Here is a 13670-nt window from a genome sequence, read left to right as displayed (position 1 = left end):
ATAGTTACCTTTACCTGCTTACTTCTTGATGATCACTGGGCTGAGCTAGGAATTCTGCCTACTGCTAGTTCCTGTGCTAAAGATAAATGTAGTATGAGGAAACAAACTCACCAGCACCCTGGCAGGATCCTTCAGCCAGCCCACAGAGCAGTTGTTGCCCATTTGTCTTGGAAACTACACACTCATATTTTTAGAAAGGGACAAACAGTTTCCCTGAGCTAGATCAAAATTCAACAGGGAAGCGGAGGTAGAGAAAACCCCGTTCCTAGCTCCTGAAGACTGTGAACCAGACTTGGAAACGCCAGGCTAACCCAAAGTAACCTGGGAACATTCAGCCTGACCTGGGTCAACCGTGATACAAAGGAATATTTAGAGTCTTGGCAGGAAGAGACCTGATAATTCCATAGCCTTCCTTATGGATCATGGCTCCCCATTAGACACAGAATAAATTCAGATTCTTCAAGCTGGTATTCAAAGCCTCCCGGGTCTGGCCTGCTCACCTATCTTCCCTTATTTCCCAATCCTTCTCCTCTCTATATCATTACAGGGCTACACTGCAAACTCAACTATGGGTCTGATATAGTTTGGACAAATGTCCCCACCCAAATCTCATGTTGAATTGTAATCCCCTGTGTTGGAGGTGGGGCCTGATGGGAGGTGATTGGATCACGGGGGTGGATTTCTCAGGAATGATTTAGCCCCAGCCCCTTGGTGCAGTTCTTGTTATAGTGAGTGAGTTCTTGTGAGATCTAGTTGTTTAAAAGTGTGTATCACTTCTCTCCTTCCTCTCTCTTGCTCCTGCTCTGGCCATGTGATGTGCCTGCTCCCCCTTCACCTTCTGTCATGACTGTGAGTTTCCTGAGGCCTCCCCAGAAGCTAAGCAGATGCCAGCATCATGCTTCCTGTGCAGCCTGTGGAACCATGAGCCATTAAACCTCTTTTCTTTAGAAATTACCCAGTCTCAGTTATTTCTTTATAGCAACGTGAGAATGGACTAACACAGGGTCCAAACTCCTTGGTTTGTCCTCAGAATGACTGTACTTTATGCTCTGTGATACTAATGATACATGGAGCTGGATTGGGACAGACAGACATCAAAAGGACTAAAATTAACTCTGAGTCCTATATACCTTCACTGTTTTTCATACTATCTCAAGCCAACTTTTACCTTGTAAACCAAAAAAAAAACAAACAAACAAACAAAAAAAAAAAAACTCTAAGGCCCCTCAACCATCTGAATGGACTTTCTCAGCCAGGGCACTTTTAAAATTAAACCTGAGGCATGATGGGAAGTGGGGTTGGGCATACCTCATTATACCTTTCCAGCATTAACATCAACACAGACTTTAAATCTGATAAGAAACATTTTATGGCCAGGCGCGGTGGCTCACACCTGTAAGCCCAGCACTTTGGGAGGCCGGGGCGGGTGGATCACGAGGTCAGGAGATCGAGACCATCCTGCCTAACACGGTGAAACCTCGTCTCTACTAAAAATACAAAAAATTAGCCGGGCGTGGTGACAGGCGCCTGTAGTCCCAGCTACTCAGGAGGCTGAGGCAGGAGAATGGCATGAACCTGGGAGACGGAGCTTGCAGTGAGCCGAGATCATGCCACTGCACTCCAGCCTGGGTGACACAGTGAGACTCTATCTCAAAAAAAAAAAAAAAAGAAAGAAAAGAAACATATTTTACAACCTATTCTCTCTGAAGCCTACTACCTGAAGGCTTCCTCTGCAAATAAGAACTTTAGTCTCCACAATCCTTTGTCTTAACCCAGACATTTCCTTTCTGCTGATCCCAGGTCTTTAAATTCAACCAATTGTCAACCAGAAAATTTTTAAACCCACCTATAAGAAGCCCCTGACCCCCACCCCACCCCCCACCACCCTACCCCACCACTTTCAGTTGTCTTACCTTTCTGGACCAAACCAATGTATTTCTTAAATGTATTTGATTGAAGTCTCATGTCTCTCTAATGTGTAAATGTCTCCCTAAAATGTTCTAAGCTGCACCCCAACCACCTTGGGCACATGTTCTCAGGATCTCCTGAGGGCTGGGTTATAGGCCACGGTCACTCATATTTGGCTCAGAATAAATCTCTTCAAATATTCTACAGAGTTTGACTCTTTTCATCAACAACCCAGATGTGGGTTCTATCAGGGTGCTGCAGTTTCTATCCTGTGTTTTTCACAGATCACCTTTGATCATCTCATTATTTGAAATAAATACAATATGAAAAAGTTTCAGACTTGGTCAAAGTCCAAAGACATCTTGATTGCTACAAAAGCAAAGGAACCTAGATAATTGAGCTTATACTGGAGTGAATCATTTAACATCTGTTTGTTTTCATTATTTTCCTTTAACATTCTTGTGAGAACTATAAAGTGACTTAAACCTGAATAACCAGTTTGACAGGTTTCTGTTGGGTGGGGACAACTAAAAAAAAACACAAAAAATGTTCTTTAATCTCTCCAAGCCACTTTTGATATGTAAAAAATTCAAACCAGTTGTTATACTTTGCTCTGGTGCCACAGTTATAAAAGACAGGTAAGAGCATAACATTGGCACCAGTCTGCCAGGAACGAATCCTGGCTCTACTGTTTACTAGCTATGCAACCTTGGGAAAGTTATCTAACTTCTCTGTGCCTTGGTGTCCCATCTGCTAAAATGATGATAATAATAGCACTTACCTCATCAGATTGTGAGAGGATTAAATTGATTATCACATATAAACTGCTTAGAACATGCCTAGCATGTAGTTAAGCTCCCAGTAAATATTAGCGTTACAATGCAGAGGATTTCTGAAATGGGGAATCGATCTAGAACTAGTCAATGAATTTGTGAGTCTCCTTTGTGAAACAGCAGCATATGGTCTTAAGTTGGTAATATGAGAATGAAAAACACCTTCTCTTCTCTTAACAGGTTGATCTCTCTTGAGCCCTTAACTGGGAATCCCTATCTGTGCTTAGTTCCTAGCTTCATGATCTTGGACAAGTTAATTATTATCTGAGATTTTTCCAGGTTTTTTTTCAAATGTAAAATGGGGATAATAATTCCTACCTCCCACAGTTGTAAAGGAGGTAAAATATGGAGAGTGCCTACTGCTGTCCCTGGCATAGGAGGCTTCTCTTCCTAACTCCTTCTAATCCCCACCTTAATTTTAGTGAGGACAGGTAGCTTAGAATTATATTTTAAAATATATTTCCCAAAATGAAACTTATTTCTATTTTATTTATTTATTTATTTTTTGAGACGGAGTCTCGCTCTATCGTCCAGGCTGGAGTGCAGCGGTGCGATCTCGGCTCACTGCAAGCTCCGCCTCCCGGGGTCACGCCATTCTCCTGCCTCAGTCTCCCGAGTACCTGGGACTACAGAAGCCCGCCACCACGCCCGGCTAATTTTTTGTATTTTTTAGTAGGGACGGGTTTTCACCGTGTTAGCCATGATGGTCTCTATCTCCTGACCTCGTGATCTGCCCGCCTCGGCCTCCCAGAGTGCTGGGATTACAGGTGTGAGCCACCGCGACCGGCCAATTTATTTTTATGTTTATTTTTCAGGAGGGAGGATGGCTGCTGGTCCCCACCCTGTCCCTACTATCTTACTTTAATTTTACTATTTAAATCAGGCAAAGAAAAATTTTTTTTGAGAGACAGAGTCTTGCTCTATTGCCCAGGCTAGAATGCAGTGGCACAATCCTAGCTGGCTGCATCACTGCAGCCTCAAACTCCTGGGCTCAACTTCTCTTCCCACCTGGGTGTCTTGAGTACCTAGAACTACAGGAACACACCGCCATGGCCGGCTAACATTTTTTTTCCTTCCATAGAGATAAAGGTGTCACTATATTGCCCGATCAGGTCTTGAATTCCTGGCTTTAAGTGATCCTCTCAACTTGGCCTGCCAAAGTGCTGGTGAGACAGCCAGGTGGGAGGGGGTCCCCGGAAAAACTCCAACCAACCTGCGCCCTGGGGTGGAGTCTCGGGAAGTTCACGCTGTTTGCAGCGGGGAGGAGCCTGGCCGCCTCACTTCCTGTGTGGAACCTAGGATTCCAACCGTAAAGCAGGAAGCATTCTAGCAGGGACTCTGGCCTAGCAAGAGTCCCTGTTTCTTCCTTTTCTTCCTTTTCACCCAGTACAATTCTGTCTTACCATTCAAATTGTCTGCAAGCCTGAATTTTTGTGGCCATGGGACAAAGAATGCCATCTTTAGCTTCACAAAGGAAAAGTCCTGCAACATTTTTGACCCCCAACATGGGGCTCAAGAAGCGGTGAGTGAAATGACTCAAAACCTCTCACTGTTGCTCCTAAGCCTTTTCATCCTCAGACTTCTGAGAGTGGGGGAAATCATGCCCACACCCCCGCATTGCTCCCCAGCCTTTTCATGGCCTTTTCTTTCCTTTTTCGGGATGGACCAGTGAGCAGCGGCTCCCCTCCACCCTCCCCTCCCTGCCTGGGCTGAGACACATGGCCCAAGGTGCCGCGGGCAGCTGGCTGGTGTTTTCTGCCACACACCCTGGGCCTGAAAGGCCATCTCTGACCCGCAGCAATTAAACTTGTCTCCCTGGTGAAGGAACCACTTGAATAAGAATAAGAGGTTCTTCCCCAGGCATTTTTTAAACTTTTTTTCTTTCCTCTTCTTCACCCCATCAGTAGTAACTTTTAAAGTTCTTTTCCTTTTAGAAGATGCTTTACTAAACCAAGCCCCCCCCAACCAACTATCTCTGTTTGTATTATCTGCAAAGTTTTGGTTCTGAAATGAAGCCTTCATCTGGTTTTACATATTGGGGGCACTGCCTGTAACTGCTTGATAGGGCTTTGTTCAGCAATCCTGCCTTAGGGGATGAGCCTGCTGTGGTTGGTATCTGGATGTTTTCCTAGCCCTGTCTCTTAAAGAACCCCACCCGGGGACTGGGTTTTCTCCTGCCTGGCTGTTATATGTGTGTGTTATATGCTTGTCAGTTACATATGTGTGTGTGTGTGTGTGCGTGTGTGTGTGTGATGTCTGTAAAAAGAGCTCTAATTAATTTGGCCTAAAGAAAGACAAGTGCTCAGATCTAATATTTTTTTAAGGGAAGATAAAAGCTGTGATGCCTTTCAGTTCACGCGACTTTAATCTTTGAGAAATAAAAGCAACCTTAAAGATTATTGGTAAAAACAGATGTCATTAAAATGTAAATAGGTGGGCTGCATAATGCAGGTCAGATGCAAGGTTTGCTAAATGTTTTAAGGTTACAAACTGCTTTTTGGGTTTTGAGAAATATGACTTGCTGGCTTCACAGCTGGTAAGGCCTGGGGACACATGGAACTAACCACACCCTTAATTAAGAAGGCAAAACTTGGCTGCAGTTAGCACACAATTAGAACAACTTACCAGGTTTTAAATTAACGTTAAAAATTCTAGGAGTTACCATTACAACATGTAATTGAGACTACTGGAAATAGATTTACATGCAAGGTGTGTAAGAACGGTAAAATGTGGTTTTTTAGTAAAAGGTTATAAGGAAGCATGGAAATGTAAATTTTTGCCTAGGGTTAAAGGATTGTTTTGAGTTAGATAGGAAAAGCTGAAGGTTCAAACAACTGGTGCAAGAATTATGGAAATTAATCTTGCAGAAGAGGTTCTCTGTGACCATGTTAACTAAATTCAAAAGGGTTATTAAAGGTTTTTGCTGCTTTAAAATTTCTGAGTCATCATTTTGGCAAAATTGTTTATAGTAATCTGGAACACTATTTCATAATATCAAATGTTTTAAACATATTTAACAGCCTTCCAAAAATCAAACTTAAGTTTCATAATTGTCTTTTCTGATACCTGGCTTTTAGATAGTCCAGAGGGCCCCTGAAACATCCAGAAAAGAGAGGCAAACGAGATGATTTGACATGTCTAGGTAAATGAAATTGTCATAATGATGTTCAATCTTGTTTAGGTTATATTTTTGTGAGTAATATTAATACATGTTCCAAAACTGTATGGGACTTTCTAAAATTCTAATGTCTAAGTTATGCTACCAATCATAATTAAGGTTGTTATGTTAACTTATTGTAAACCACAGAGAAAACCAAACTCCTTTGTCAATTGTGTTTCCAAGTGTAACTACCCTGGACATTTTTGCTATTCAGAGACAATTGTTGTCTTGTTTTAATCCTTTTCAAGAGATGATTTAGAATAAGCCGTAGAACTGTAACAGGTGCTCTCAAATACAGGCTTCTGATAACTTTGGAGATTGTGACATTGGAATAAAGGAAAATGTACAGGACTCATGAAGAGCTGAAATGTTCACGAATATCAACCAAAGCAAGAATTAACTAAATGGACTGAACTCAGAAAACTAAAGCAATCTTTTTGACTTTTGCTTGGAATATTGCTCATCCTTGTTTTGTTTCTCAGAGTCAAGGAAACTTATTTTGAACTATTTATGGCCTTTAATAATTAAGCAAGGTATACTTCTGTAACCAAAATTTGAAGCATGTTTGTTTCTCTCTGCCTGGTTCCTCTAAAATTTGAAAACTATCTGTGAGTATTCATAACTTATGGCAATATAGTTGTTTACATCAGTGCAATAGGAATCCACTTCTCTCTTGCAACGGGACACAATTGGAAAAACTGGTTACTTTACCAAGTCTTTGACTGGAAGGGTATGCTTTCCTTTAAGGAGTCAATCTTGACTTGCAGCGCCAATAAAATCCCAGTGGGGAAACTGGCCTCATACCCTTGTTTACACAGTCCCTGCACAGGGTTCCTATGGTCAGTAAAGAATGCCACTTTTAACAGGTCCAGGAACTCCAAGTTTATCTTGGAACCTTAAGAGGAGAGGATCACCAAACTCACAGGTATTTGAGGATAAACCCATGCCTGGGCTCAGCTTTAAAAGGTCTTATCTGATTCCTTGTGGAACAAACTTCCATCGAAGCCAATCCGAAAGGCCTTTGCGGAAATAATAATTCTTGCTGTACTTTATGCAAATAATCAGGCCAAGTATAAAAATGTAAAGTCTATTTTGCAAACAACTCAGTCCTGTCATGATTTGTTTGTTTGTTTGTTTTTAACAAAAATGAGGACTGGCGAGTGAGAAATCGTGTTTCAAAACCTATCATATATTTGTCATTAAATTCTAAACTCACTAGTTGTTTTTAAGTTTTTACCTACATTTTAAGACTAATCCTACTTGTTCCTGTGAACCAACCGGCAGTCTCCAGCTGCAGCTCAGAAAGAACAAGAGGGATGGGTAATGTGAAAATCTGGATCAACATTCTAATTCTGAGGAATTATCCTGAAAACCCTGCCAGGTGATGGGAATGAATAGGATGCCCATCACTTGGACATTTCCTTTGGGAAAATAAGACCAAGGGAGCTAACAAAAGCCAAGCATCATGCACCCAAATCTTAGCAAGCATAACTATAGCTATCAGTCATCTGGGTGTGTCACAAGACATCCTTTCCTCTCCCTTATTGGAGGAGGACTCAGTTCTACGGTTTCACCTTAGCATGCAGCTTATGATAGGGAGTCCATGCAACTCCCCTGAGACACATTTTTGTTCCAAACTCAATTCCAAGCTTTGGGTCAAAGCCCTAGGAAAGAAAACTGGATCTAAGGGATCCAGAGGTAGACAACAACAGAGGTTAAAAGGCACAGCACAGGTGATCGTGGCTGATTCCTGCCAATTAAGCCATGCCCAAGCTTCCTGTTTGATGGATAAAGGCCACGTTAGTGTCCATGGCATAAATGAGGTCTAGGGAATTCAAGGCTACTGACAATAAGGGAGATAGGGCATATGTGGGTAAGAATGGCAGATTTTCACCCCCTAAACCCCCTGCTTCATGAGTGTAAGTCATTTTAACACCTATGGTGGTGACTGCCAAGGTCGCCTGGACTCGGGGATGGAAGGACAGAAGAGGGAAAGAGGACGCTCTTTCCTCTCTCTCTCACATACCCCAGATATCTGCTAGGAAGAGAAGGGAAGCTTCAAACTGAACTTTATAATAATTTTATTGGGCATAAACTCTCTTGAGCAGAATCCAGGTGTTGAACAGGAACTGCTGCAGAAAGAAGCACAGGAGCCATGGCCCATCGTGTGGGCAGACAGGGAGGGGCAGGTGAGGCCTGAAAGTGATGCTTGCTTTCTCAGCAGGGAAGCTTATAGCCTGGGGCAAGGTCTGAGTTCTCCCTGGGCTTCCTGGAGATTAATTTGCCACTGTTAGGAGGGCACAGAGCGAGCAAGACCAGCCTCACCAGCTGTGTGGGAGTTGAGTTAGGCCTATTGTTACTGGCTTTCCCCCACTTTCTTAGTGAGAGAGGTGGCCATAATCCCCTCTGGAACATAACCCCATTAGCCCAAGAACCACCCAGCATCCCCTACAGTGGCCATAGCAAGCCCTGCCCAAGGAGAGTCTGAGCTCAGACTTGTCTAACCCTGCACCCACCTCATGGTTTTTCTCTACCCATCCCAATAGCCAATCACAAAAGACATAAACTTTTGGGAGCTTCATGGCCCTGACCATTACCTGAGAAACCCAAATACATATCCTGGCCAACTTAGGGCAAGCTTATATCCCCATTCTACTATCGTAGCTGGTGCTCTCTTGAAAGCACCACCTCCTGGCTGGAGATCATCCACCTCAGGACATAATAGCAATTAATGACAGAATAACCCTGCTCCAAGGGAGGAGAAAACAACACCTAATTTCACTGCCTGCAACATCATGGCTAACCAGATGGCCTGGGTCTGTCCACATAAAAACTTCACTGCTAGCATAACCAGCATCCAAGAAAGCCAGCACACTAAGCATATCTACAACCAAGGACTCTCACAGAGTCTACTTCACTCCCCTGATACCTCCATCAGAGCAGGTGCTGGTATGCACAGCTGGGAAACCTGAAGATGGATCACATCACAGGAATCAGGTATTTCTCAGCACCAGCCTGGAGCCTGGTAGCTGCACTGGGTGGCTGGACCCAGAAGAGCAATAATAATCATTCAGTTCAGCTCCCAGAAAGCCACGTCCCTAGGGAAAGGGAGAGCATACCACATCAAGGGATCACCCTATAGGACAAAAGAATCTGAACAGCGGCCTTGAGTTCCAGCTTTTTCCACTGAAACAGTCTACCCAAATGAGAAGGAATCAGAAAAGTAATTCTGGTAATATGACAAAACAAGGTTCTATAACACCCCACAAAACCACACTAGCTCCCTAGCAATGGATTCAAACCAAGAAAAACATGTCTGAACTGCCACATGAAGAATTCAGAAGGTTGATTATTAAGGCTACTCAAGGAGATACCAGAGAAAAGTGAAAACCAACGTAAAGAAATTTAAAAAACAATACAAGACATGGATGAACAATTTTCCAGAGAAACAGACATCATAAAGAAAAAACAATCACAACTTCTGGAAATCAAAGACACACTTAGAAAAATATAAAGTGCACACTTAGAAAAATATAAAGTCAACAATAGAACAAGTAGAAGAAAGAATTTCAGAGCTTGAAAACAAGGCTTTTGAATTAACCCAATCTGACAAAGACAAAGAAAAAGTAATTAAAAAAATGAATAAAGCGTCCATGAAATTAGGGATTATGTTAAACAGCCAACCCTAAGAATAATTGGTGTTCCTGTGGAAGAAGAGAAATTTAAAAGTTGGGAAATTTATTTGAGGGATTTCCTGGCCTTGCTGGAGATCTAGATATCCAAATACAAGAAGCTCAAAGAACACCCAGGAAATTCATCACAAAAAGATCATTACCTGGGCACATAGTCATCAAGTTATCTAACATCAAGATGAAGGAAAGAATCTTAAGAGCTATGAGGCAAAAGCATCATGTAACCTATAAAGGAAAATCTATCAGATTAATAGCAGGTTTCTCAACAGAATCTCTACAAGCCAGAAAGGATTGGGGTACTATCTTTAGCCTCCTTAAGCAAAATAATTGGCAGCCAAGAATAGTTTATCCAGCAAAACTAAGCTTCATAAATAAATAAGAGATAAAGTATTTTTCAGAGAAACAAATGCTGAGAGAATTTGCCACAAGCCAGCACTACAAGAAATGCTAAAAGGAATTCTAAATTTTTTTTCTTTCTTTCTTTTTTTTTTTTTAAGATGGAGGCTTACTCCATCGCCCAGGCTGGAGTGCAGTGGCACAATCTCAGCTTGCTGTAACCTTCACCTTCCGGGTTCAAGTGATTCTCCTGCCTCTGCCTCCCGAGTAGCTGGGATTACAGGCATGCACTACCACACCCAGCTAATTTTTGTATTTTAGTAGAGATGGGGTTTCACCATGTTGGCCAGGCTGGTCTCTAACTCCTGATCTCAAATGATCTGCACCCCCCTCAGCCTCCCCAAGTGCTGGGATTACAGGTGTGAGCCACTGCGCCCAGCTGGGATTCTAAATCTTGAAATAAAACCTCAAAATAGGCAAAAATAGAACCTCCTTAGAGCATAAATCTTGCAGGGCCTATAAAACAACAACACAATGAAAAAAAAAGGTATTCAGGCACCAACTAGCACAATGAATAAAAAAGTACCTTACATCTCAATACTGAAGTTGAATGTAAATGGCCTAAATGTTCCACTTAAAAGATACAGAATGGCAGAATAGATAAAAATCAAGTAACCAGGTATCTGCTGTCTTCAAGAGACTCACCTAATGCATAAGAAATCACGTAAACTTAATGTAATGGGCTAGAAAAAGATATTCTAGGCAAATGAACACCAAAAGCAAGCAGGAATAGCTATTCTTATATCAGACAAAACAGACTTTAAAGCAACAACAGTTAGAAAAGACAAAGAGGTGGCACATTATATAGTGACAAGAGGATCAGTCCAACAGGAAAATATCACAATCCTAAGTATATACTCACCTAACACTGGAGCTCCCAAATTTATAAAACATGTATTACTAGACCTAAGAAATGAGATAGATGGTAACACAATAATAGTGGGGACTTCAATACTCCACTGACTGCATTAGACAGATCATCAAGACAGAAAGTCAACAAAGAAACAATGGACTGAAACTATACCCCAGATAGATATTTACAGAACATTATACCCAACAACTGCAGAATATTCATTTTTGTCATCAGCCCATGGAACATTCTCCAAGATAGACCATATGATAGGCCACAAAACAGGTCTCAATAAATTTTAAAAAGTCAAAATTATATCAAGTACCCTCTCAAACCACAGTGAAATAAAACTGAAAATTAACTCCAAAAGGAACCCTCAAAACTGTACAAATAATGGACATTAAATAATCTACTCCTGAATGATCTTTGGACATTAAATGATCTTTGGAACAACAATGAAATCAAAATGGAAATTTAAAAAATTCTTTGAACGATAATAGTGACACAACTTATCAAACCCTCTGGCACACAGCAAAAGTGGTGCTAAGAGGAAAGTTCATCAAACTTTTGACTACATCAAAAAGTCTGAAAGAGCACAAATAGACACTCTAAGGTCACACCTCAAGAAACTAGAGAAACAAGAACAAACCAAACCCAAACCCAGCAGAAGAAAAGAAATAACAAAGGTCAGGGCGGAACTAGATGAAATTGAAACAAACAAACAAAATTCGAAAGACAAATGAAAAAAAACTTGGTTCTTTGAAATGATAAACAAAATTGATAGACCATTAGTGAGATTAACCAAGAAAAGAAGAGAGAAGATTCAAAAAAGCTCAATTAGAAGTGAAATGGGAGCTATTACAACCAATATCACAGAAATACAAAAGATCATTTAAGGTCACTATGAACATCTTTTATTCACACAAACTAGAAAATCTAGAGAAGATGAATAAATTCCTGGAAATATACAACACTCCTGATTAAATCAGGAAGAAATGGAAACTCTGAACAGACCAGTAACAAGCAGTGAGACTTAAACAGTATTGGTAGAAGGGCTGAGGCAGGGCTTGTTTGTCTGACATAACGTAGAAGAGTCTTGGAACATGTCCTGGGTCCAGGGTCCAAAACCCCTTGTGGCCTATGGAACACCAAGCTCTGTGCCAAAGAGTGGAAGGCTGCCCCACAGCACTACAATCTAAATCCAGGGCATAAAACCCCTTGTGGCTTGGATGGAATCCAGGGCTCAGGGCATAAAACCCCTCTTAGCCTCTGGAATGTGTCCAGACTCACTGGCCCCTTGCTCCTTGCTCTCCCAAAATCATAAATTGATTGTATCTTGAATTAGAAGAACCTGTTCTCCATTATCTCAAGTAGCAGAGCATAATGCTAAACTGTGACAGCTACACTTGATGCACCACTGCCTTTCTACCCTCAATGTCCTCATGTCCTCACCTGTTTACCCCCATGTCCACACGTCCTCACCACCTGCTTCTTTGTTTGATTACCAGTAAATAGTATGGGTTCCCAGAGCTCAGGGCCTTCGCAGCCTCCATACTAGCGTTGGCTCCCTGGACCCACCGTATGTACTCTTAACTTGTCTTGTCTCATTCCTTTGACTCCGTCGGACTTCATAGCCACCACGACCTGGTGTTGAGTCTGATCACCCCAACAAACAGTAATAAAAAATACTGCCAACAAAAAGAAGTCCAGGACCGGATGGATTCACAGCTAAATTATATCAGACATTCAAAGATGAATTGGTACCAATTTCACTGAAACTATTCCAATGATAGAGAATGAGGAAATCCTCCCTAAATCATTCCATGAAGCCAGTATCACCCTAATACCGAAACCAGGAAAAGACATAACAACAACAAAAACAATTACAGACTAATATCCCTGATGAACATGGAAACAAAAATCTACAACAAAATACTAGCTAACTGGATCCAACAGCATATCAAAAAGATAATATGCCATGATCAAGTGAGTTTCATACCAGGGATACAGGGGTGGTTTAACTTACGCAAGTCAATAAGTGTGATACATCACATCAACAGAATTAAAAACAAAGATCATTTGATCATCTCAATAGATGCAGAAAAAGCATTTGAGAAAATCCAGCATCGCTTTATGATTAAAACCCCTGGTAAAATCGAAATAGAAGGGGCATACCTTAAGGTAATAAAAGCCATCTATGACAAACCCACAGCCAACATTATACTGAATGGGGAAAAGTTGAAAGCATTTCCCTAAGAACTGGAACAAGACAAGGATGCCCATTTTCATCACTGCTATTCAACATTGTACTAGAAGTCCCAGCCAGAGGAGTCAGACAAGGGAAGGAAAGGCATCCAAATTGGTAAAGAAGTCAAACTGTCACTGTTCGCTGATGATATGATCATATACCTAGAAAATGCTGAAGACTCTATCTACCCAGAGGAAAAGAAATCATATGAAAAAGACACTTGCACATGTGTCTTTATAGCAGCACAATACACAACTGGAAAAATATGGAACCAGCTCAAGTGCCAACGAGTGCGAGTGGATAAAGAAAATGTGGTATATATATTTACTATGGAATACTACTCAGCCATAAAAAGGAGCAAAATAATAGCATTTGCAGCAACCTGGGTGGAGTTGGAGATCATTATTCTAAGTGAAGTAACTCAGGAATAGAAAACCAAACATTGTATCTTCTCACAAGTGGGAGCTAAGCTATGAGGATGCATATAAGATGCTAAGCTATGAGGATGCATTATATCATTCTTATGCCTATAAGAATGATATAATGGACTCTGGGGACTTGGGGGGAAGGGTAGGAGGCGGGT

The 13670-nt window shown here is 41.4% G+C and overlaps 2 protein-coding genes across 2 annotated transcripts in view, besides 1 other annotated feature; one reads left to right on the top strand and one right to left on the bottom strand.

Moving 5' to 3' along the window:
- The window catches only part of FAM47E (family with sequence similarity 47 member E), a 69744-nt gene that overhangs the window by 45218 nt on the left and 10856 nt on the right, over positions 1-13670 (bottom strand). The gene's annotated exons all lie outside the window — the stretch shown is intronic.
- Positions 3794-4670: an enhancer, noted in NCBI's record as "NANOG-H3K27ac-H3K4me1 hESC enhancer chr4:77155049-77155925 (GRCh37/hg19 assembly coordinates)". NCBI's record gives its function as "activates a minimal SCP1, AML or CMV promoter by ChIP-STARR-seq in primed H9 embryonic stem cells {active_cell/tissue: H9 hESC(primed)}" and the evidence as "EXISTENCE:reporter gene assay evidence [ECO:0000049][PMID:30033119]".
- The window catches only part of SCARB2 (scavenger receptor class B member 2), a 75796-nt gene continuing 66159 nt past the window's right edge, over positions 4034-13670 (top strand). Inside the window, exon 1 of the mRNA XM_047416429.1 lies at positions 4034-4263. The gene's annotated coding sequence lies outside the window, so the exon portion shown is untranslated. The remainder of the gene's footprint in view (positions 4264-13670) is intronic.

This window comes from Homo sapiens, chromosome 4 (assembly GCF_000001405.40).
Source record: "Homo sapiens chromosome 4, GRCh38.p14 Primary Assembly".
In the NCBI taxonomy this organism is placed as follows: Eukaryota; Metazoa; Chordata; class Mammalia; order Primates; family Hominidae; genus Homo; species Homo sapiens.
This window is presented reverse-complemented; position numbering and strand designations above follow the sequence as displayed.